At 39.3% G+C, this 27,402-nt stretch overlaps 1 protein-coding gene across 18 annotated transcripts in view; it reads right to left on the minus strand.

Annotated features, from left to right (window-relative positions):
* Nucleotides 1-27,402, minus strand: part of SENP7 (SUMO specific peptidase 7) — a 189,008-nt gene that overhangs the window by 50,983 nt on the left and 110,623 nt on the right. For 10 of the 18 annotated variants that reach the window (XR_007095714.1, XR_007095713.1, NM_001282802.2 and 7 more), the window contains one exon: nt 23,674-23,868. The exons of the other annotated variants lie outside the window; for them this stretch is intronic. Coding sequence is in view for 8 of the 10 variants with exons in the window: in NM_001282802.2 (NP_001269731.1) it covers nt 23,674-23,868 (195 nt within the window). In the remaining 2 variants the exon portion in view is untranslated. The remainder of the gene's footprint in view (nt 1-23,673; nt 23,869-27,402) is intronic. 18 annotated transcript variants of the gene reach the window in all.

Below are 27,402 nucleotides of genomic sequence, written 5' to 3' on the forward strand. Positions count from 1 at the left end.
CAGTCACTGTGGAATGGTTTGGTGGTTCCTCAAAAAGCTAAATAGAGAACTGCGATATAAGAAGCTAAACACAGGCCGAGCACAGTGGCTCACGCCTGTAATCCCAGCACTTTGGGAGGCTGAGGCGGGCGGATCACCTGAGGTCGAGAGTTCAAGACCAGCCTTTCCAACATGGAGAAACTCCGTCTCTACTACTAATACAAAAATTAGCCAGGCGTGGTGGCGCACGCCTGTAATCCCAGCTACTCAGAGGCTGAGGCATGAGAATCGCTTGAACCCGGGAGGCGGAGATTGCGGTGAGCCAAGATCATGCCATTGCACTCCAGCGTGGGCAACAAGAGCGAAATTCCATCTCCAAAAAAAAAAAAAAAAAAAAAAAAAGAAGCTAAACACATAATCACAAAGTTACCAAGCAATCCCACTCCTAGGTATATACCCAAAGGAATTGAAAGCAGGTACATGAACAGATTCTTGTACTCCACTGTTCACTGTGGCACACTATTCACAATAGCCAAAAGGTGAAAACAACCTTAGGGTCCATCAAGAAATGAAAAGAAAAACAAAATGTGGTATATTCATACAATAAAATATTATTGGGCCATAAAAAGGAATGAACTTGTGATAAGTGCTACATGAATGAACTTTGAACACATTATGCTAAGTAAACTCAGCCAAACACAAAAGGACAAATATTGTGTGATTCCACTTAAAGAGGTAACTAAAATAGACAAATTCACAGAGACAGAAAGTAGATTAGAGGCTACTAGGGGATTAGGAGAGGGGAGAATGGGGAATTATTATTTAATGGTAACACAGTTTCTGCTTGAGATGAAAAAGTTGTGATAATGGTTGCACAACAATATGGATGAACTTTGAGGACATTATGCTAAGAAAAAATAAGCCACTAACTAAAAGACAAATACTGATATTCCATTCATATGATGACATATTTAGAATAGTCAAATTCATACAGGCAGAAAGTAGAATGGTGATTGCCAGGGACTGGAAGAAGGGAAAAATAGGGAGTTAGAGTTTAATAGATACAGAGTTTCAGTTTGGGAAGATGGAAAAAGTCCTGGAAAAGAATGGTGGTGATGGCTGCACAAATATGTGACTGTACTTAATGGCAGTGAACTGTACACTTAAAAATGGTTAAAATGGCAATTTTTAGGTTACTGATATTCTATTACAATCTTTAAAATACAAAAAAGGTATTAAAATATACAATAAATGAAGGGAATAGGAGAACTAGTTCTACTAATTTCATAATAAAACATAATACAGAGTAACATCAACAAGTAAAGTATAGTATTACAGACTAGTATATAAGAAATGGCTGGCAAACAGCAAAAAACCAAACACCGCATGTTCTCACTCATAGGTGGGAATTGAACAATGAGAACACATGGACACAGGAAGGGGAATATCACACTCTGGGGACTGTTGTGGGGTGGGGGGAGCGGGGAGGGATAGCATTAGGAGATACACCTAATGTTAAATGACGAGTTAATGGGTGCAGCACACCAACATGGCACATGTATACATATGTAACAAACCTGCACGTTGTGCACATGTACCCTAAAACTTAAAGTATAATTTAAAAAAATGCAAAAAGAAAAAAAAACAGAAGAATTTGAAACAAAGCTGGGAAACAAAGCTTTCAAATTCAGTTGTAGTGGACTAACTGGGTAACAACAGAGAAAAAAAAGAATTCAGAACTACATCCAATACTCTAAGGTAAAATGAACTATCATATGCTAATGACTAAAAGTTGTAAGATTTTTTTTAAACAACCATCAGAAGAAAAACACTATATTTATTAGCCTTGTGGAAGAAGAATTTCTTGAGAATGGAAGTAAAGAAATTATAGAGAAAAATATGATCGGATTCAACCACATACATGGTAAACTTTTAATAAATGATAAACTAAGAGCATCAAAATAAAAAAGAGAAATTAAACCCAAAACTGCATCAAACGAAGTGCAATACACAGGAGTTCCCAGTCCAACATGAAAGGAGCTTGGAAGTTATCTATCCTAACGGGTAAAACTGAAAAATCAACAACTCTTCCTGGACGTGACAGAAAAGTGAAGTCACAGGATGAATGGCTGCCCCCAAAATGGGAGAAAGACAGCCAGGTGAATACAGAGAATCGCAACTTACTAAAGCAAAAACCCACAAGCAGAAACAGTCCCAGTAACTACTATTGGAGTATGAAGACCTAAACTGCAATTGACAAATTGCTGAGGGTTCAGTGTACATAAGTCTAAGAGTTAAAAATCCCAGAGGACTTAGTCATAAAGGGGGTCGCACACTTTTGTGAGTTTTATCTCCAGGAGTTCAACCAGGTTCTCACAGTGAATATCAGAAAAATCCCCTCATGGTTCAGCAGAGGAAGGAAAACATTTTCAAATATATCAGAGCATTCTGTTCTTAACAAGGCCTGCCCTCAAGAAAAACTATTTCACCAGAGCCTAAACTATGAGTTATTTTTTAGAGCCTAATCAAGCAGGGGAAATAAAAAATACCCAACTCTAGCTCCGTCTAGCATTCTGTGTGAGGAAAAGCAAGGAAAATACACAATTCCAAGACCATCTAGCTTTCCATGTGGGAGAAGGGAAATATCTAACTTCATTATATTCCAGGTATGCTGTTGCACCAAAGCATTCAGAAGAGAATGAGAAGCACTTGTAAAGTTAACAGGCCAAGGACAAAGGCTCATTAACGCCTGAGGTTGCAATTTTTTGAATTTTTGCAATCACAGCTTGGTGATAACCTTTAGCAGTAGGATATAAATAACTTCCACATGCCTAGCGTTCCAGTAATAGAACACTAAGCATAAATGGGTTAAAAGACTGAAACCTAACAGGACTACAGAATGCTTTTCTTCCTCTCACATCTTACCACCACATTCCTAAAGGTCTATTTACAGTAGTTGCTTTTATCTAGTACGTCATGTCCAACTATCCAAAAAAAAACAAAAAACAAAAAGAAAATTAAAAGCCACTCTAAAAGAAAAAAAACCACAGTTTGACAACAAGTATCAGAACCAGAACCAGACATGTCAGAGATGTTGAATTATCAGATTAGGAATTTAAAACAAATATGATCAACAGATAAAGTATACAGCATATAAGCACTTATGGGCAATGTTAGCAGAGAGAAAGTGTAATGAAGAATGAAAAAGAAATACTAAAGATCAAAACACTGTAACAGAAATGAACAATGCCTTGGATGGGCTCACTAGTAGACAGGATATGGAAAAGGAAAGAATCTCTGAACTTGAGTATATAGAAATAGAAAATTCCAACACAGGAAAGCAAAGAGAAAAAAAGACTAAAAAAACCCGTAACAGAATATTGAAGAAATGTGGGACAACTACAATAGGTGTAGCATAGGCATAATGGGAATATCATAAGAAGAAAGAGGTAAAGAAACAGAGGAAAAATGCAAAGCAATAATGCATGAGAATTTCCCCAAATTAATGTCAGACACCAAATCACAGACTGGCAAGTTCAGAGAACACCAAAGAGAATAAATGCCCAAAAAATAACACCTAGGCATATCATATTAAACTGCAAAAAAATCAAAGATTTAAAAACAGTTAATAAAATCCAGAAAAAAATAAGCCCTTAACTATAGAAAAACAAAGACAAGAATTGTATCTCATTTCTCAGAAACCATGCAAGTAAGAACACTGTGGAGTGAAATCTTTTAAGTGTTCAGAGAAAAAAAACCTACCAATAAATAAATAAAGTACAAAGTTGCAGGATTAATACTCTCTGATTTCAAAACTTTCTGTAAAGCTACGGTAATCAAAACAGTGTGGTACTAGTATAAAAACAGACACATAAACCAACAGAACAGAATAGAGATCCCAGAAATAAACCCTCAAATACATGGTCAAATGATTTTCAACAAGGGTACCAAGACCATTCAATGAGGAAAGGGCAGCCTTTTCAACAAATGATGCTGGAAAAACTGAATAGCCACATGCAAAACAATGAATCTGTACCCTTACCTAACACCATATACAATAATTAACACAAAATGGATCAGAGACCTAAGCATAAGGCATAAAGCTATTTTGAAAATTCTTGGAAGAAAACATAGGGGAAAATCTTCACATTAGATTTGTTAACATTTCTGAATATGACAACAAAAGCACAGTCAACTAAAGAAACAGATTACGTAGACTTCATCAGAGTAAAAAGGCAACCCACAGAATGAGACGAAATATTTGCAAATCCCATATCTATTAAGGGATCAGTATCCAGAATATATAAAGAAATCCTACAACTTACAAAAAAAATCCAATTCAAAAGCAGGCAAAGTACTTGAATAAACATTTCTCTAAAGAAGACATATAAATGGCCAACAACACGAAAAGATGTTCAATATCACTATTCATTAGGAAAATGAAAATCAAAATCACAATGAGATTCCACCTCACATGCATTAGGATGGTTATTATCAAAAAAACGAAAACAAGTATTGGCGAGATATGGAGTAACTGGAACCCTTGTGCACTGCTGGTGGCAATGTAACATGGTGCAGCCACTATGAATAATAGTATGATGTTTCCTCAAAAAGCTAAAAATAGATTGCCATATGATCCAGCACTTCTACTTCTGGATATATACCCAAAAGAACTTAAAGGAGAGATACAAACACACACTGAACACCCATGTTCATAATGGCATTACACACAATAGCCAAAATGTAGAAGCAACACCACTATCTATCAACAGATGAATAGAACAAAATTTAGTTGATACATAAAATGGAATATAGTCAGCCTTAAAAAGGAAGAACATTCTGACACATGCTGCAACATAGATGAACTTTTAAGACACTATGCTAAGCGAGATAAGTCAGTTAGCAAAGGACAAATACTGTGATTCCACTTATTTAAGGTACTTAGGGTCATGAAATAAATCATAGAAACTGAAAGTAGAATGGTGGCTGTCAGGGTTTAGGGGGAGAGAGGAATGAGGAGTTCCTGTTTCATAGATACAGAGTTTCAGTTTGGTAAAAATGAAAAAAGTTCTGAAAATGAATGGTGGTAATGGTTGTACAATAATGTGAATGTACTTAAAATAGATTAAAGTCCCTATTATTCAAAATGAGAACACAGATACTAATTAACTTTGGACTTTGATAGGTCTATCAAGTATATTATAATTTATAGAAAACTATTTAAAAATAGAAAGAGTCTAAATCTTCTAGAACGTAAAGCAAACCACCGCCCCCCCCCCCACACACACACACAAAACAAAACATAACTAATTTTTAAAATACAAGAATGGGTGGGGCACAGTGGTGCACACCTATAGTGTGCTACTTCGAAGGCTGACTTGAGGCCAGGAGTTCAAGGCTGTAGTGCACTATAATCATGCCTGTAAATAGCCACTGCACTCCAGCCTGGGCAACATAGCAAGACCTATCTCTAAAAAAAAAAAAAATACAAGAAAGGAAAAAAAGTCAAGCAGACCAAATAAAAAGCATAAAGAAAAATAGTAGTATAAAATATAAACAGACTATGCCTTATAGTTAAAAATAAATGTAGACTGAATGTAAAAAGAGAAGTATCCAGATACATACTATTTACTGGCAACACATATAAAATGAAAATGTCCAAAGGAGCATTGTTTATGAGAGAAAAAAAACTGGATACAATCCAAACTCCATCAATAAAAAGTAGGTAGATCTATTTTTAATATTAATACAATAAATACATAAGTAAAACTGGATGATCTCTAGCTCTATGCATCAACATGAATGAATCTCACAAAAATGTTAGGCAAAAAAAATGCATGCCATGTAATACATATTGTTCAGTAACCTGAATCATTTTTCTAAAGTTCACAATTATATAAAACTTAAAATTCAGAAAAGTGGTTAATTCTAAGGCGAATGCATGGGAATGGGACAGAATGGGCAAAGTGGGGAACACAGAAGGCTTCGGTGATGCTGATAATAGTCTATTTTTTAATAGAAGGTGAACATTTGGGTGTTTATTTTAACATTATGTTTTTTAACTTAAATGCATCTCATATATATTAGACCTGTGTTATAGTTCTACCTCTGCCACTTAATCTCTTTGAACCTCAAAAAGTTTCCACATTTATAAAATAGAAATATTAACTGCTCTCCTATCTATCTCATAGGCCTAAAGTAAAGATTAATATCAAAAGAGGATAGTGTGAAATGAATAAAAATAACACTATTTTTCATGATTATAATCATTTAATCCAGAAAAATATTTAGATGAAAGCATATCAAAATATTATCAATGCTTATTATTGAGGAATGGATTATGGGTAATATCAATTTCATACTTTTCTATATATCTCTTAATATAAATATGCATTATTGTTCAAATTAGGAAAAAGTTTAAATGTTTACATAAATTACATATAGATAATAATGAAATATTATTTTGAAAAGAGTGATAACCATATAATGCAAATGTTCAAGAGTTAACCGTGCAAATGAGTATCATTATTAGTAATTTTATTCAAAACTGACTAATGTTTCTAGCATAAAGGAGTTGAACTTAGGATATATGCACTATTTGTATCAGTGTTTTTCAAATTGCTAGTCAGAAGAAAATTTATGACATAAAACATAGAAGAGAAATTTTAAGTTAACAGGGGAAAATGATCTCAAAATAGAGTATCTTCTTTAGTGTTTATGTGGATTATTGTCATTACCAAATTACCAAAGGAAAGCTTAAAAAGAAAATCAACTGACATGAATATAGGAAACTATGACAGAGCTGGAATACATTAATAAAAATGAAACCTCCTCCACTTCCATTTAAAAGCTTTGGGCTCCCTCTGTTGGAAGTCTATATTAGAGTCTTGCAATTTAAAATAGCAATTTGATCCCTTTCACTCAAGGCTAATTACCAATCCCTGCTGAGTGGCTAGCTACAATAAAACCTTTATTACTTTTGTAAAACATAATTTTATGAAATATTTTTCTTCTTTTTTTTATTTTTAGGTACAGGGTCTCACTCTGTCACCCATGCTGGAGTGCAGTGGCTTGATCATCGCTCATTGTAACCTCTAACTCCTGGGCTCAAGCAACCTTCCAGCTTCAGCTTTCTTAGTAGATAGGACTACAGGCACACAGTACTGCACCTGACTAATTCTTTTTTTAAAAGTTTTTTGTAGAGACAGGGTCTTGCTATGCTTCCCAGGCTGATCTTGAACTCCTGACCTCAAGCCATCCTCCTATCTTGGCCTCCCAAAGCACTGAGATTACAGGTATGAGTCACCACACCCAAGCCTATTTTCTAATACAATTCGGTATATATTATTTGGAAATTAAATTAGACTTCTTTACATTAGCAGTTATAAAGTATTTCTAAAAATCCCAATGGGAAGTAAAATTTAAAAATACTAAAACATTCTGCTCAGTCTGACCTAAAAGGGAGTTCTTAATAAATATTTATAATGGAAGGGCAAAAAAAGAATCAGAACTTCAATTAGGAAAGTAATCTACAGACTTGTTCAGGAATTGATAGCTCATCTAAAGCAGTACAAATGAGAACAGTAGCTGGCTGACTTATCTCCATATTTGGGGTTAAAGAGGTCTTGCCAGGGATAAGCCAAAACACAGGAATTAAACACTAACATATTTTGCAAAATAAACTAAAAGTCTTCTATATCAAAGATACTATAAAGAAAGTGTAGTATAGCAAACTTGAAAAACAATTTACAATACATATTACAAAGAGTCAATACCTTTAATGAGAGTTTTTAAAATGAATAAGAGATGAGCACCCTAATAAGGACAAATACTAACAGAAACTCATATAAGAAATTTTTTAAAACATATTCACTAAAAATGATTAAGTTTGGATAATTGTCCCTGACCAAATCTCATAGTGAACTATATCCCCATGCTAGAGGTGAGGCCTGGTGAGAGGTGTTTAGGTCATGGGAGCAGATCCTTCAGGGCTTGGTGCCGTCTTCATGATAAGTGAGTGAGTTCTTGCTACATCTGGTTAAGAGTGTGTAGCAGCCTCCCCACTCTTTCTCTTGCTCCTGCTTTCACCATGTGATGTGCCTGCTCCCCCTTTGCTTTCCACTGATGGCAGCAGCAGCAGCCCATCTGGAGCAGCTGCTGCAAAGAGGCCGGCTGCAGTGGGGGAGGCACAGCCGGGACTGCAAATTCCACAGAGCTGGTGGGAGCTGGGAACAGGCAGAAGCCCCACCCTCCTTCCAAGTTGGAGGGGCGGGAGTCCTGCCTTCCCCAGCACTGCTGCAGCCACATAGCCACAGCTGCAAACCTGGGCATTCCTGTACTCTAAGGAGCCCAGGAAGGCCCCCATGCCCCCGCACACTCAGAAGTGTCTGCTCCCACTGCCCAGCCTCTCCACTCTCAGTGCCCACTCCAATTCTAGAGCAAAGTTGAGGCCAAGGCGAGGCACTGTCACAACCTGGCCAGGTGTACACATGCTCGGGTACACGCCAGCCCCCTGCCACCTCAGCCCCCTCTGGACTTTGGGGGCCAATGAGCACAGGAGGGAAGGGGATGCTGAGGGCAGCTCAGTGTGGGCCTGCAGGCACCCCTCAGCATGAACTGCCTGGGCACTGGGGATAGGAGGTTGATGGCAGTGGGAGGCAGACCAGTTCCTGGGCAGAAAGGGGAGTGTCCCCAGTGAAGCCCCTCCTTCAGGCCTGGGACAGCCTGAAGTCTGGGGCCCAGGCTCCCAGTTCCGTGGACCAGAGTGACAACTTATGGTGCTTTCTCCAGGCTGAGCCATGGCTGCCTATGGACCAATAAGCGTGCACTTCCTACCCTCCAAAGGCCATAAAAACCCCTGGACTCAGCCAGACTTGGGCAGATATCAGGACTACCTGCCTGCAGAGAGAAGCTACCCACTGTGGGTCCCCTCTCAGCTGAGAGCTGTATACTCGACAGGATCACCTGCCTGCAAATAGGAGCTATCCACTTCAGGTCTCCTGAGAGCTGTACTGTCACTCAATAAAACACCACTTTACCTTACTCACCCTCCAGTTGTCCACATACCTAATTCTTCCTGAACACAGGACAAGAATTCAGGACTTGCCAAGTGGCAGGACTGGAAGAGCTATAATACAAACAGGGCTAAAAAGGGTGCTACACACTCTTGCCACGTTGCGGGTGACTAGAAGAAGAGAAGACAGAAGGAAAGAAGAGCTGTGGCCCTTAAGGGAGCCCACCTAAGAGTTCCCCTAGCCAGGGCTGTGACACCCTCTTTGGGGCTCTGCAGTTCCTGGTGTCTCCAAGCTTCTGGGCACCACCTCAATCCCCAGTGCCAGCAGTGGAAGCCACTTGCAGTACGACTGGTCCAACTGCAGTCTTGTGGGAAGCCAGCACCCGTGCCAGCACCTGGAGCTGCCCGTCCCACCACAGCCGACATGCCTGGCTGTGCACAGTGGCCAGACCCAGCACTCACTCGCTCACACACCCCTCGCCACTCTGCACCTGGCTCGCCGTTGGCAGGTATGGAATCCGGGCCAGTAGTGGGAGCCAAGCACAGCCTGCCAGGCCAAGTGGGCAGAACAAGCCCAGCAGACCCAAGTAAAACTCAGGCAAAGAGGTCACCAGCTGGCGAAGCAACACCACAAGGATCCTGTGACATCACCACGATTGTAAGCTTCCTGAGGTCTCCCCAGAAGCAGATGCTGCTATGCTTCCTGTACAGTCTGTAGAACTGTGAGCCTATTAAACCTCATTTCTTACATACTACCCAGTATTGGGTATTTCACTAATAGCAGTGCAAGAATGGCCTAATACAAAAAATAAAAGACGAATGAAATGAAGACAATTTAATGAAAACAATTATATATTTTTGCCTACGGCTTATCAAAAAAAGTTTAATCGTAACACCTAATCTTGTTAGAGTATAACAGATTCAAACTGAAAGGATTTACTAGAATAAATATATGGAGATGTGTGTGTGTGCATGTGTGTGTGTATATATACAGTATATATATATGTGCCACTTACTGAAGCATTGACATATAGACAAAAAAAATACCTTGAATGTCTTCTCATGAGGAATTACACATAAGTAAATGAAGTGAACACACCCCACAACCTCAAAGCCCACCCTCAGACCCCACCCAAGGACAAGGATGACCACTACAGCAGATTTTGGCAAAAGGCAGGGGCTAAATCTGCCACATTTAGGAGATTAAACAGTGCTCAGTCCAGCTTCAAAGCCTACACCAAGGCCCCACATAGGCAGAGTCTAACGTCAACTATGCATTTTTACTTAGCAAAGCAGGTGGTCCTATCCATCTGATGGGCAACTCCACCTAAACTTAGGGCCTCTCCTGCAACCCCGTCCAACTGCTGAACTCAAATAGCAGTATCACACAGCCAGAGAATACATCTTGTGACCCTCTCCATCTAAGACAATTGCACTACCATCCAGAGCTCAAATGAATTGCAGAGCTCCTCCAGTGCTCTCAGTCGATAGCAAAGCCCAGTCAGCTGACCTACCCAAACTCAGAGCAAAGGCAGCAGCCCAGTCATCTAGAGAACCCAACAGCAAACTCTGTCTACCAAGGATCATTACCAGCTGACACATCTAGAATTATAAGCCAGACTAAATGGAGAAGGTCCATCTCTGCCAAAACTGTAAAAACTAAAAAAGGTAGCTCTCCTCAAATGAGCAGACAACAAGACAAGGACACAAGGACCAGAAAAATCAGGATATCAAGACACCTCCAAAATAAAATGAGCAAAGCCGCTAACAACAGGACCTTGAAGAAAGATCTGTGAAAGGACAGATAGGAAATACAGAATAATCCTCTTAAAGAACGTCAGTGAACTACAAGAATACATGGATAAAAAAAAAATTAATGAGGGGCTTCAAGAGGCTGACTAGAGGTATCTGGCACTTGCCTCCTCCACAATTAAGAACCAAAACAGCTGTTAGATAACCACCTATCAAATAGAGCTCCTAAAAAATAACACTGTAATTCAGCAGAGAACTGACAGGGAATCTCTCAGGCACAGAAAAAGGGAAATGAAGCAATTGTCCTGGCTAAGATGCACTCAGAGCCAGGACAGACTCCTTGCTGTGAAGAAAAGGTAAGCAAGAAATCCCCGGAAGTCCATGTTCCACTGAAGACTCTTGTAATCCTAGGTAAAGGAGAGCCCCTTGGCCCTGGCAGGACCTGAGACTAATATGGGGGCTGCCTGGAGTCCACATAACTGCACTGTTCAACAGGGAGAGATCATGCTGGATCCCACACATCCCCTGAGACTCAAGCAGCTGCAACGCAGTACCATTTTGAGAGCCTAGTTACCAACAGACGACATCATGCCCTGAGGCCCAACAGCCCCTCTATTTCCACATCCCTGAAGGCCTGCTAACATTCCCCAAATCCACCTAGAAGGCTGCAGCATTGCAAGGTTGGCTGGAACCAGTAGTGTGGCCAGATCCCCAGCACTCTAGCCCAGACAGTATCCTGCGTGCCAGAAAACAAGTAGTGCAATGCTCCAGGAAGGTTGCCCCCAGGACAAAAGGAGTCAAAGCATGTTCTCCCAAAGTCTGAGAGGTGCCTGCCTAGGCACTAACAGCAACCCAGCTCCCTCCAGGGGCAGAGCTGCTACAACATCTGCACACATCTTCAGAGGGTCTGGGGACCAGCCTTCCCAGCTGACATCCCAGGCCCCCAGAATAAGTGTCTCCTACCTGTTGCAGGCACTAGCACATGCCATACAGGGGCCTAAAAATAGGCAAGCCCTGCCAACGCCACCAATGTTGGCACCCAAGTACATCATCTGGGAGCCTGGGAATCAATGGACCCTAACAACTGCTGCTGCTGGCACCCATGTGCACCATACAGGGGACTGAGTACATGCCTTCCCTGGCCACTGCCACCATCACCAGGGCCTGAGTGCATGGTTCAGGGACCTGGGAAGCAACCAGCCCTACCCAATGCAGCCGGTGCCCACATGCACAATCAGAGAGCATAAGACTAGGTCAGCCCTGCTCACTGCCACCATTAGCACATGAATGTGCTGTCCAGGGATTAAAAAAATCAACCCACCATACCAACTACCACCAGTACCAGCACATACCATTGAGAGGCCTGACAATAGGCCTACCCCACCCACCAACATCACAGGCAGCATGAGCCATTCTGGGGCCTGAAAACAGGCCCACCCCACCCACCAATACCACTGCTGGCACCCAAGTGCACTGTCAACACGTCTAAGGATTAATCCAACCCACCCATTATGGCCAGAGCCTTGCACACACCACTGGGGAGCCTGACTAGAGACCTGCCCCCTCACAACTTCTGCTGGCGGCACCCACACACATCATTCAGGGACCTGGGGCCTTCCCTGCCCACCACTGCTGGTGTCCACAGAGCCATCATGACCACCATTGCCAGCACCACAGTGCGCCATCCAGAGGCCTGGGAAATGACACACCCAGGTTGCCACAGCCACTGCCTGTGCACTCCATCAGGGAGCATGAGGACAGGTACTTCCTGCCAGCCACCGCTTAAGTCATTACCCCCATGATTCTTCCGGGAGCCTGAAAATCAACCTGCCCCATCTGTAACCATCTGCACACACCATCAGTGGGGCTAGAGGACAAGTCCATCTTACCCACTGCCATCACTGCCAATGAGCACATGTATTGTCAGGGGGACTAGGGATCGACTAGGGAGCACACCACCAATGGCTCCTGCACATGGCTTCTGGCGGACTGAGTACAAGCCTACCTGACATGCACTGTCTGGGAGCCTAGGCATAGGCCCACCCAGCCTGCTGGCAGTTCCTGCAGATGCCTCCTGGAAGTTCGGGGACTGGCTAGCCCAGCCACCACAGACACCCACTTGTGCAGTGCTTAAGGAATAAGGATTGACCAGACACAGCTACTACCATCACCAATGCCACTCACACATCACAAAAGTCTATGAACCACCACTGCCACCATGACACCTGAGCAAGCCCACCTGAAGGCCCAAGAACTGGCCCACCAGGACCTGCCACCACCAGCACAACTGTTAGAAGCCTGGGGGTCCAAGGACCAGCACATCCAGCCTGCCACCACCACCACAGGTATCTAAGGGCCAGCTTGCTTGGAGTCTCCATCTCAGCAGAGCCTCACCACAGCCTCCACTAACAACAAAAACCTAAGCCACTGAGGAACACAGCCACCACTGACGTTGATTATAGCCAAAAAAATTATACACAGACTGCACCATAATGCCCATTCAGACAGAATCAAAGCCATAGCATCTTACTCAAGCAACACTATATATACACATCTACAGGAAAAAGTTTCCCTACAAAAGCTAATACATAAAATTGGAAGAAATAACTGTTCAACCAGATGTGCAGATATCAATGTAAGAACATAAGAAACATGAAAAAGGAAACATGACATGTACAAAGGAATATAATAATTCTCCAATAACATATTTCAATGAAAAGGAAATCCATAAAATATCTGAAAAAGAATTCAAAATAATGATTTTTTTAAACTGAGAGAGATATAAGAGAACACAAATAAATAATATGAAGAAATTAGGAAAACAATTCAGGATCTGAAGGGGAAATTCAGGAAATAAATAGATATCCAGAAAAAAAAAAGAACTAAACAGAAATCCTGGAACTTAAGAATCCAATTAATGAAACAAAAAATACAATCAAAAGCTTCAACAATAGACTAGACCAAGAAGAATTTCTGAACTTGAAGACAGATCTTCTGAAAAAACAGACACATAAAAAAAGAAAAAAAGAATTAAAAAATGAAGAAAGCCTACATGACATATAAGACATCATAAAATGACCAAATATTCCATTTTCAATGTCCCAGAAGGCAAAGAGAAAAAACAAAGGGATAGAAAACATACTTCAAGAAATAATAGCTGAAAACTTCCCAAGTTGAGCAAAAGATTTATTTTTATTATTTTATTTTTAATTTTTACTTTTTTAGAGGTGGGGTCTCCCTCAGCCACCCAAGCTAGAGTAGAGTGGTGCAATCCTAGCTCACTGCGGCCTTGAACTCCTGGGCTCAAGCAATCCTCCCACCTCAGCCTTCAAATCCAGCAAGAGATTTAGACATACAGACACAGGAAATACAGAGATCCTCAAATAGATACAATACAAAGGTCTTCTCCGCAGCACATCATGGTCAAACTACCAAGTCAGAGACAACAAGAAAATTCTAAGAACAGCAAAAGAAACATGTCTAGACACTTATAAGAGAATCTCCATCAAACAAACAGCAGATTTCTCCACAGAAAACATGCAGGCCAGAAGAGAATGAGATGATATATTCAAAGTACTAAAAGAAAAAAAAAACTGCCAGCCAAGGATACCATACCTAGCAAAGTTATCCTTCATAAATGAGTAAGAGTTTTTCCCAGACAAGCAAAAGCTGAGGGAACTCTTCACCACTAGACAGGCCCTACTTACATTAAATGCTTAAGAAAATCCTACACCCAGAAGCAAAATGGCACTATCTAAAATAATGAACATACCTAAAAGTACAAAACTAACTGTTGAACAGATATACAAATGAAAATGACAAAGGAGTTGAACACTGTCACTACAGAAAACCACCAAACTGAAGTGATAAATGATAAAAGTGGAAGAAAGAAAAAAAGGATATACAAAACACCCAGAAAACAATTTACAAAATGCAGGAGTTAAGTCCTCATCTATTAATAATAGCCTGAATGTAAAGGAATTAAATTGCCAACTTGAAATATATGAGCCAGGCACAGTGGCTCATGCTTGTAATCCCAGCACTTTGGGAGGCTGAGGCGGGTGGATCACCTGAGGTCAGGAGTTAGAGACCAGCCTGACCAATATGGTGAAACCCCATCTCTACTAAAAATACAAAAATTAGCCAGGCATGGTGGTGGGCATCTGTAGTCCCAGCTACTTGGGAGTCTGAGACAGAAGAACTGCTTGAACCTGGGAGGCGGAAGTTGCAGTGAGTCGAGATTGTGCCACTGCACTCTAGCTTGGGCAACAGAGCGAGACTCTGTCTCAAAAAAAAAAAAAAAAAAAAAAAACCCAGAAAGACATGAACTGGCTGAATCCATTTTTTTAAAATGACCCAATTCAACTGTATGCTCCCTACTCACGTCACCAATAAAGACATACATTGACCGAAAAAAAAAAAAAAATACATTCCACACAAATGGAAACCAAAAGCATGCAAGAGCAGCTATACATACATCAAACTTTAAGACTGCTTTCGGTTTCCATTTGCAAATTTTAAGTCATGCTTTTGGTTTCCTTTTGTAGACTTTAAGTCAAAAACTGTAAAAAGAGACAAAGAACTACATTATATAATGATAAAGAGATAAGCTAAGAGGATATAATTCCAAATATACATGCACTTAATATTAGAGAACACAGAAATATAAAGCAAATATTATTAGATCTAAAAGAAGAGACAGACTCCAATACAAAAATAATGGGGGATTTCAACACCCTACTCTCAGCAGTGGACAGATCATCAAGACAGAAATTGAACAACAAAGTATCAGACTTAATCTACACTATTGATCAAATGGGCCTAACAGACATTTACAAAACATTTCACCCATGGCTGCAGAATATACATTCTTCTCATCAGCATATGGAACATTCTCCAGGATAGACCATATGTTAAGACACAAAACAAATCTCAATAACTTTTTAAAAATCAAAATCATATCAACTATCTTCTGAGACTGCAATGAAATAAAACTAGAAATCAGTAACAAAGGAACTTTAGAAACTGTACATGGAACTTAAACAACATGCTCCTGAAGAACCACTGGATCAAGGGAAAAAATAAAAAATAAATTTAAAAAGTATTAAAACAAATGAAAACAGAAATACAGCATACCATAACATATGGGATCCAGCAAAAGCAGTGCTAAGAGGGAAATTTATAGCAGTAAACACCTAAATCAAAAAGTAGAAAGATTTCAAATAAACAACCAAATGATGCATCTCAAAAAACTAGAAAAGCAATAACAAACTAAACCCAAAATTAGTAGAAACAAAAAGATAATAAAGTCATAGAAGAACTAAATGAAATATAGTAAGAAAAATTAAAAGGATCAACATAATAAAAATTGTTTTTTAAAGACAAACAAAAATCACTGGCTACACCAACCAAGATTAAAAAAAAAAACAAGAAAGAACACTGAAATAAATACAATCAGAAACAAAAAAAGGAGGCATTAAAACTGATACCACAGAAATACAAAGAATAATTAGAGGATATTATGAACAAGTATATGCCAGCAAACTGGAAAATCTCAAGGAAACTGAAAAATTCCTAGAGACATACAACCTACAAGATTGAATCAGGAAGAAAGAGAAAACCTGAACATACCAGTAACAAGCAACAAGATCAAAGCAGTAATAAAAGGTCTATCAACAAAGAAAAGCCCAGGACTGGACGGTTTTATTGCTGAATTCTATCAATCTTATAGAGAGGAACTAACACCAATTCTTCTCAAACCACTCCAAACAACTTAAGAGGAGGAAATTTTATCTAACTCATTCTACAAGGCCAGCACTACCCTGATAACAAAACTATACAAGGACATGAGAAAAAAAGTTCAGGCCAATATGAGCAACACAGATGCAAAAATCCTCAACAGAATACTAGCAAACAGAATCCAACCACACATCAAAAAAGATAATGCACCATGATCAAGTGAGATTTATCTCAGGGATGCAAGACACACACAAATCAATAATTGTGATACCTCATATTAGAACGAAGGGCAAAAACCATGTGATCACCTCAACAGATGCAAAAAAAGCATTTGATAATATTCAATATCCCCCCATGATAAAAACCCTCAAAATAATAGGCACAGAAGTAACACACTGCAACATGATTAAGGCCCTATATGACAAATCCACAGCCAAATTATACTGATTGAATAAAATCTGGAAGCCTTTCCTCAAAGAACTGGAACAAGACAAGGATGCCCACCTTCACGACTCTTATTCAGCACAGTCCTAGAAGTCCTATCCAGAGCAATTAGGTAAGAGAAAGAAATAAAGGGCATCCAAATTAGAAAAGAGATAGTCAAATTATCCCTCTTTCCAGATGACATGACCATACATATAGAAAAACCTAAATACTCCATCCAAAAACTAATAAATTCATTAAAATTGCAGGACACTGAATCAACATAGAAAAATCAGTAGCATATACCAGCAACGAACTAGCTGGAAAAAAAATAAAGTAATTCCACTTAGAATAGCTACAGAATAAAATAACTACGAATAAATTTAACCATAGAGTTGAAAGATCTCTAAATTGGAAATTACAAAACACCAATGAAAGAAATTAAAGAGGACATAAACAAATGGAAAGATATCCCAAGCTCATGGATTAGAACTAATAGTGTTAAAATGACCATACTTCCCAAAGTAATCTACAAATAAAATGCAATCCCAATCAAAATGCCAATGATATTCTTCCTAGAAACAGAAAAACCAATCCAAAAATTCACATGGAACCACAAAAGACACCAAATAACCAAAGCAATACTGAGCAAAAAGAACAATGCTGGAGGCATCACACTATCTGACTTCAAAATATATTACAAAGCTATAGTAACCAAAACAGCATGACATTGGTATAAAAATAGCTGGGTGTGGTGGTACACATCTGTAGTCCCAGCTATTCAGGAGGCTGAGGAGGGAAGATTGCTTGAAGTCAGGAGTTCAAGGGTACAGTGAGCTATGATCATGGACTGCACTACAGTCTGGATGACAAAGCAAGACCCCATCTCTTTAAAAAACAAATACATAGACCAATGGAACAGAATAGAAAACCCAGAAATAAATCCCCATATTTAGAGCCAATTGACTTTCAACAAAGGCACCAAGAACATATACTGCAAAAGGATACCCTCTTCAATAAATGTTGCTGGAAAAACTAAATACCCATATGCAGAAGAATGAAACTATACCCCTATTTCTCACCATATACAAAAATCTACTCAAAATGGGTTAAAAATTTAACCATAAGACCTGAAAATGTAAAATTTCCAAAACAGGGGAATAACTATATGACATTGGTCTGAGCAATGATTTTTTAGATTTCACCCAAAAAGCACAGGTAACAAAAGCAAAAAACAGACAAAAGGGATTACATCAAAATTAAAAGCTTTTGTACAACCAATGAAATCATTTTCAGAGTGGAGAGACAACCTATAGATTGGGAGATAGTCTCAAATCATACATCTCACTAGGGATACGTACATATCTAAAATATGTAAGGAAACTCAAACAACTCTATAAAAAGAAAACAAATAATCCAATTTAAAAAATGGGTAACAGAATGAATAGACATTTATCAAAAGAAGATATACAAATGTCCAATAGACATATGAAAAAATGCTCAACTTCACTAATTAGGGAAATATAAATGTCTTAGTCTGTTTCGTGTTGCTGTAACTGAATACCTGAGACCAGGTAATACAATATAATGAATAGAAATTTATTTAGCTCACAGTTAATCAAGCTGAAAAGTTTGAGACTGGGTGGCTACATCTGGCAGCTTCTAGTGAGGGCTTCCTGCTCTTCATAGCATGGTAGAAAAGTGTAAGAGGAAGCAGAAGTGCGCAAAAAGACTAAATAGGACAAACAGGTTTATAACAACTCATTCTCACGGGTACATATGGTATTTGGTACATGCACAGAATGTGTAATGATCAAGTCAAATTATCTGGGGTATCCATCACCTCAAGTATTTATCATTTCCATGTGTTGGGAACATTTCAATTCCTCTCTTCTAGCTATTTTAAAATATACAATGCACTACAGTCACCCTACTCTGCTACTGGATATTAAAACATATTATTTCTAACTATATAGTAGCCATTAACCAAATTCTCTCCATTGCCCCCCACCACACATACACTTCCCAGCCTCTAGTGTTTATAATTCTACTCTCTGCCTCTATGAGATCAACTTATTTAAGCTCTCACATGTGAGAGAGAACATCCAACATTTATCTTTCTGTGCCTGTCTTATTTCATGTAATGACCTCTAGTTCCATCCATGTTGCTGCACATGACAGGATTTCATTCTTTTTTATGGCTGAATGGTATTCCATTGTGTATACAGACACCGTATTTCCATTATCCACTGATGGGACACTTAAGTTGATTCTGTATCTTTGCTATGGTGAATAGTACTGCAAAAAAACATGGTAGGTGCATGTATCTCTTTGGTATATTGACTTCCTTTCCTTTAGATAAATACTAGTAGCAGGACTACTGGATTGTACAGTGGTTCTATTTTTATGTTTCTTTTTAAAAATTTTTTTTTTTTTTGAGACGGAGTCTGGCTCTGTCGCCCAGGCTGGAGTGCAGTGGCGCAATCTCGGCCCACTGTAAGCTCCGCCTCCCAGGTTCACGCCATTCTCCTGCCTCAGCCTCCCGAGTAGCTGGGACTTCTTTTTAAAATTTGTTTTTTTCTTTTTTGTTTCTTTTTTTTAATCTATTTTAGTTTTCTGAGAAATCTCCATACTGCTTTCCATAATAGTTACACCAATTTACATTCCCACCAACAGTGTATGAGAGTTCCCTCTTCTCCACATCCTTGCCAACATCTGCTATTCTTTGTCTTTCTAACCGCCATTCTAGCTAAGGTAAGATGATATCTCATTGTAGTTTTGATTTGCTTTTCCCTTACACTTAGCAATGCTGGGCACTGTTCACATACCTGTTTGTCATTTGTATGTCTTTTTTTGAGAAATGTCTTTTTATGTCACTTGCACACTTTTTAGTGGGATTATTTGTTTATTTTTACTGTTCAGTTGTTTGGATTCCTCATATATTCTGGGTATCAGTCCCTTCTTGGATGAATAGTTTACAAACATTTTCTCCCATTCTGGAAGTTGTCTCTTTACTCTGTTGATGGGTTGGCTCCTTAGCTGTGCAGAAGCCATTCAGCTTAATATAGTCTCATTTATGTATTTTTTGTTGTTGCCTGTGTGAGGTCTAAGTCAAAAAATCTTTGCCTAGACCAATGTCCACAAGCATGTCCCCTATGTTTTCTTCCAGCAGTTTTATAGTTTCAGGTCTTACGTTTAAAGTATTTAATTTATCTTGGGTTGATTTTTTATATGTGGTGAGAGACAGGGGTCTAGTTTCACTCTTCTGCATATTTTCCCAGGATCACTACTGAAGAGGGTGTCCTTTCCCCAGTGTATGTTCTTGGCACCTTTTGCTGAAAATCAGCTGGCTGTAAATATATGGATTTATTTATAGGTTCTCTGTTCTGTTCCGTTGGCCTATGGGTCTGTTTTTATACCATGCTGTTTTGGTTACTATAGCCTTGTAATATATTTTGAAGTCAGGTAGTGTAATGCCTCCAGTTTTATTCTTTTCACTCAGGACTGCTTTGGCTATTTGGGCTCTTTTTTAATTCCATATGATCTTAGGGTTAAGATTAACAAATTCATCTTAAGGGAAGAAAGAACTAAAGCTTGGTTTAAGGAGTTCAGTATTTGCTAAATTAAATGGGGAGGCTAACAAAGCCATAACAATTGCTTTGGCAGCAATGGTGATGACGATAAGTGGACTCAGGAACACATGTTGGCACCCTCATTGTAGAAGATTTCAGTAACATCAACTATAGTAATATCCTTTTATAATACTTCTGATATCAGCACCAATAAGAGAGACACAAAAATAATGACTAACTTTTAATAATCACCTACTAACTTCCTGGCATTATACTTGGGACTTTACATGGATCATCTCCTTATATCTGCACACTAACCCAATAAGGTGTGTATTATTATCCCTGCTTTAAAGACACGGTAAGAAACCTGTCCAAGGTAAGTCAGTGTATTAGCAGTATAGCTAATATCTTAATCCAGATGTCTGGCTCCAAAGTTCATGCTTATTCCAAATACATGAATCAAATAAAATTGTCACTAAGGGAATGAATTTTCAAGGTCCACATCAAAACCACCTGGAAATTCCACATCTATTTAGAAAGGATTTAAAGGAGAGCTAGTGTTCCCACTGAATAGTTTTGGGGAATGACCAGAAATATTATACCTATTAATATTATTAAACCTTAGCCCCAGAATGGCATAAAGGCAGAAGCGTACAGATTACAATTTGATTGTTTCATACAATCTTCAAAAGTGTGATTTTTCTTAACAACATAAATGTGCACTGACATCATCTGAGTTCCATGGGCAATGGCACATCATAAGTTTTTTCTTTTAATCTTTTTCTTTTTTTTTTGCTCATCATTTGACTTAAAGCTCAATCATCACAACTTTTTCTCCAACAGAAAGTACCTTCCTTAATATTTTCATTTATTTTATGGGCTCAAAGAATTCTCAGAAGTGAGATTTAAAAGAAAAGAAAAATAACATTTTTGTGAGGTACATAGGGCATTCAAAATTACTTCTCTGTTTACAACTCAGAAAACTGAATTTTACATTAAATGACATAAGCATTAACCCAAGAGCAAAAAATTTAGTATACATTGAGCTAAGTCCTAGGTATAAATGCAAATAAGACACAATACCTCTTCTTCTCAAGGAGCTCATGGTATAGCAGAGGAGGTGGAAATAAACAGCTATACTGCAACGTGGATAGGTACTTTTGTTGTTGTTGTTATTGTTTTTTGTGTGTTTTTTGAGATGAAATTTTGCTCTTGTTGCCCAGGCTGGAGTGCAATGGTGCGGTCTCAGCTCACTGCAACCTCCACCTCCTGGGTTCAAGCAATTCTCCTGCCTCAGCCTCCCAAGTGGTTGGGATTATAGGCCCCTGCCACCACGCCCAGCTAATTTTGTATTTTCGGTAGAGACAAGGTTTCACCATGTTGGTCAGGCTGGCCTCGAACTCCTGACCTCAGATGATCCACCCGCCTCAGCCTCCCAAAGTGCTGGGATTACAGGCGTGAGCCACCATACCCGGCTGTTGTTTTTGAGACAGAGTCTTGCCCTGTCACCCAGGCTAGGATGCAGTGGCTATCATAGCTCACTGCAATCTTGAATTCCTGGGCTCAAGCGATCCTCCCACCTCAGCCTCCCAAGTAGCTGAGACTACAAGCATGCACCATCACATCTGGCTCATTTTTTTCATTTTTAGCAGAAACAAGATCTCACTATGCCTCCTAGGCTGGTCTTGAACTCCTCGCCTCAAGTGATCCTCGTGCCTCAGCCTCCCAAAGGGCTAGGATTATAGGCATGAGCCACTTGATAGATACATAGGCATGAGCCACTTGATAGATACATTACTAATTTCCCCAATTACACATTAAATTTAGTAACTGAATAATGCCACTGAAATTCTCATTTTGGGGGGAAAACTTAGCAAGAGACCTAATAAAATATAAAGTTAAAATTGTCGTTACTGATTCACTAAGTAGAACCTAGGTGAAAATATTTTCCAAAAGAAGAAAAATTCAAGAATTCATAGAAAATAAAGAGTTTTAAATAATAAAATTTGTTGTAGATATTTAAAAAGGCAACTATAAGTACTATTTAATGTAATTAGGCTTACAATAGAAATACAAACCAGAAGTTAGCTTTGGATAGTTTGGGGGGAAAAAAATTAGGATAATCAACTTTTCATCTATATAAAAAGTATCCTACAGGCTGAACACAGAAAATAAAAAGAGAAGCTTCAGAAGCTTGTAGCAAATGGAAGTTTATAAATCTAACAGAATGTACTAACTGACCATCCCTAGCTTTGTGCCACAGATTTTTTCTTATTTCCAGTCCACACACAATCCTCTCCTAGAGCTTAAAACAAAGGCAACTTCAGATCTGCATTTCTCTTATTGGCACAACAAGCTACATTTGTCAATGGAATTCAGCTTTTCCATTTGTTAATGGAAAATCTCAAACCATTTTTTTAAGGAATGTGTTCAGCCATTCATTCAAAAACTATTTACTGAGCACTAAGTACTAGTTAAAATTCTAGAGTCTGAATATAAAAATAACGGACAAGGCCGGGGGCAGTGGCTCACGCCTGTAATGCCAGCCCTTTGGGAGGCTGAAGCAGGCAGATCACAAGGTCAGGAGATCGAGACCATCCTGGCTAACACGGTGAAACCCTGTCTCTACTAAAAAATACAAAAAATTAGCTGGGCGTGGTGGCACGTGCCTGTAGTCCCAGCTACTTGGGAGGCTGAGGTAGGAGAATCGCTTGAACCTGGGAGGCAGAGGTTGCAGTGAGCCGAGATCATGCCACTGCACTCCAGCCTGGGCGACAGAACGAGACTCCGCCTCAAAAAAATTAAAGTAAAACAAAATAACAGACAAGACTGAATGGGTAGATGGATAGATGGACAAATAGAACAGAAAAAGAGAGGGCAATAGACTAATGTCAGAGGAATGGATTTCAATTACACCAGACAAACTGGGATACTGAAATAGGTTACCAGATTTTCATTAAGTGTCTGTATCCATTTTTCCAAAATACAAGTATGGTGGCCAGTGCTTCTGAAACACATTATTAGCCATGGACTGTTGGTTCCAATAGCCATTCCAGCCACCCGGGGAGAAAAATAATACCAGCTATCAGAGCACATTTACCTCACATTTAGCAATAATGTATCTGTGAAAAAGAACAGGGAAGGATACATAAAAATAAATATAATTATTTTGAGTAAAGTTATCACTAAACATACCTTTCAGATAAATAACAGCTCTTGTGAGGGTTTAGATTTTGATAAGATTCTAGGCTGCCATCAGATGATGAAGAAAGTTGCTCTGATTGCAAGTTGTCTGTATCACTCAAACTTCCCTCAGTTACAGGTGGGGTCCTTATGTATTTTCTTCCTAACTCCGTTCCCAGGACATTCGTCAATATAACTCTGGGTATCCTGTCACATAGAATAACAAACACTGTACTGTACTGAAGTTTTCAGTTAAAAAAAAATGTATTCCAGGAAGGTGAATTTTCAATCATTGCCATCTTAGCACAAGAAAGCTGTTCGAACTACACCACCCTAGAAATTAACCCATAAATACTTAAAAATTTAGAAAAACACAATCTTTTGGTTTATAGAAGCACTTGTTTCTTATCACTTATAACATAGATTAGCCTGCCACTACAATATCTTTAATTATACTAATGGATGCCATTGAGAGGCTTAAAATTTTAACAAATTCTTCTCTAAAAATGCTTTCTTTCCTTTTCCAGAAATTATTAAAAACACAGCTTACTACAAATCAATTCAAGAAATCTTTGTTCTTCTCATTTAACAGAAATGTCTTTGATAAGTAATTTACATACTTGCAATTGGGAAATGACAAATAATAAATCCAACAAGACATCATTCAGATTGCATCTCTGGTAATGAAAGATTCCGTAACTGAAACAGCACATATAATGGTGATAACATATATGCTAATATGTAATAGCATCAGGAAAAGAGTCAATACATTTAAATGTTTAGAAAATTAAAGTTTTTGTTTAGTTGGTTTTTCTTTTTTGAGACTGCAGTGCAGTGACACAATCACAGCTCACTGCAGCCTCGATCTCCTGGCCCAAGTAATCCTCCTACCTCAGCCTCTTAAGTAGCTGGGACTATAGGCACAAGCCACCACGCCCAGGTAACTTTTTTATTTTCTGTAGTGACTATGTCTCATTATGTTGTCCAGGCTGGTTTCAAACTCCTGGGCTCAAGCAATCCTCCCACTTCAGCCTCCCAAAATTCTGAGATTACACGTGTGAGCCACTGCATCTAGCCTGGACTGTATTTTTAAGTCTCCAGACCTTAAATTGGTGAGTTTTATATCAAATGCACTATATAAGCCTGATATCTTCTTAAACAGAAGATGTACATTTGATATATAAAGAAGTACATTTGGTATAAAATTAGTGCAATATTTACTCTGCTGGCCAGTCATTATTATGAACATTACTTTGCCACACTACAATAATGCCTTCAATATTGATATTCAGCCCAGAATTCACTGGCCCAAGCCAAATTATTGTGATTTTTTTAAGTTCCTGTTATGTAATTTTAAAGTTTTCCTAACTCCTCTTTATTAGATGCCCAGTTGACTGTTATCAATATGCCACTAGCAATACTTTACTTATACTTTGTTTGTAAGAAACAATATATAGAAAGAGCCAGAGTACGAGCATACCTCATTTTATTGTGCTTCACTTTACTGCACTTCACAGATACTGTGTTTTTCACAAATGCAAGGTTTGTGGCAACCTTGAGTAGAACACATCTATCAGCATGACTTTTCCAACAGCATGTGCTCACTTTGTGTGTCTGTGTCACATTTCGGTAACTCTCAAAATATTTCAATCTTTTCATTATTATTATATCTAGTATGATGATCTGTAATCAGTGATATTTGATGGCACAATTGTAATTGCTTTGAAGCACCACAAACCATGCATGCATAAGACATTGAACTTAATTAACAAATGCTGTGTGTGTTCTGACTGCTTCACCTACCAACCATTCCCCTATCTCTCTCTCTCTCCTCAGGCCTCCTCCCTATCCCCTGAGACACAGCAATGTTGAAATTATGCCAATTCCAGCACTACCATGGCCTCTAAATATTCACGTGAAAGGAAGAGTCTCAAGTTTCTCACTTTAAATCAAAAGCTAGAAATGGCTGGGTGTGGTGGCTCACACCTGCAATCCCAGCACTTTGGGAGGTCAAGGTGGGACAATCACTTGAGGCCAGGAGACTGAGGCCAGCCTGGGAAACACGGCAAGACTCCATCTCTACAAAACATAATTAACGAGCCATCCAGCCATGGCAGTACATGCCTGTAGTCCGAGCTACTTGGGAAGCTGAGAGAGGAGCATCACTTGACCCCAGGAGTTCAAGGCTGCAGAGAGCTAGGATTGCGCCACCTCTGTTTGCCTGGGAAAGAGAGCAAGTCCTTGTCTCAAAAAAAAAAAAAAAGAACTAAAAATTACTAAACCTAGTGTGGAAGGCATGTTGAAAGCTGAGACAGGCTGAAAGCAAGACTGCTTGCTGCAGAGTCAAGTTGTGAATGAGAAAGAATAGTTCTTGAACAAATTTAAAAGTGCTACTCCTGGCCAGGTGCAGTGGCTCACACCTATAATCCTAGCACTTAGGGAGGCTGAGGCAGGAGGATCACTTGAGGTCAGGAATTCAAGACCAGCCTTGCCAACATGGTGAAACCCCGTCTCTACTAAAAATACAGAAATTAGCCAGGTGTGGTGGCAGGCACCTGCAATCCCAGCTACTCGGGAGGCTGAGGCAGAAGAATGACTTGAACCCAGGAGGCTGAAGTTGCAGTGAGCCAAGATACTGCCACTGCATTCTAGCCTGGGCGACAGAGCAACACTCCATCTCAAAAAAAAAAAGGAAAAAAAAGGAAAAAAAAGTGCTACTCCTATGAACACACAAATAATAAGAAAGCAAAACAGTCTTACTGATGATATGGAGAAAGTTATAGTAGTCTGAATACAACATCAAATCAGCCACAGCATTCCCTTAAGCCAAAGCCTAACTCAGAGCAAGATACTCTCTTCAATTCTATGAAGACTGAGAGAGGTTAGGAAGCTGCAGAAGAAAAGTTGGTTTACAAGCTTTAAGAAAAGAAGTTGTCTCAGCCTGAGCAACATAGTGAGACCCTGTCTCTACAAAAAATAGAAAATATTAGCTTAGTATGGTGGCATGCACCTGTAGCCTCAGCTACTCGGGAGACTGAAGTGAGAGGATCACTTTAGCCTGGGAGATCAAGGCTGTAGTGAGCCATGATGACGCTAGCTGGGAGGTCAAAGCTGAAATGAGTCATGCTGGGCAACAGAATGAGACCCTGCCTCAAAAAAAAAAAAAAAAAACTATCTCCATAACATGAAATGCAAGGTGAAGCAGCAAGTACTGATGGAGAAGCTGCAGCAAGTTATCCAGAAGATCTAGCTAAGATAAGTGATGAAGGTGGCTACACTAAACAACAGATTTTCAATGTAGATGAAAGATCCTTCTATTGGAATAAAATGACATCTAGGAATTCCATACCTAGAAAGGAAAAGTCAATGCATAAGTTCGAAAGACAGGCTGACTCTCTTGTTAGGGGCTAATGAAGCTGGTGTCTTATCTGTGAAGCCAGTGCTCAATTACCATGCAAAAGATCCAATGGCCCTTAAGAATTATGCTAAATTGGGCCAAGCATGGTGGCTCATGCCTGTAATCCCAGCACTTTGGGCGGCAGAGGCCGGCGGATAACTTGAGGTCAGGAGTTCGAGACCAGCCTGGCCAACATGGTGAAACCCCACCTCTACTAAAAAAAACAATTTGCCAGGCATGGTGGTGCACACCTGTAGTCCCAGCTACTTCAGAGGCTGAGGCAGGAGAATCGCTTGAACCTGGGAGGCGGAGGTTGCAATGAGATCATGCCACTGCATTACAGC

Source organism: Homo sapiens, chromosome 3 (assembly GCF_000001405.40).
Source record: "Homo sapiens chromosome 3, GRCh38.p14 Primary Assembly".
Lineage (NCBI taxonomy): Eukaryota > Metazoa > Chordata > Mammalia > Primates > Hominidae > Homo > Homo sapiens.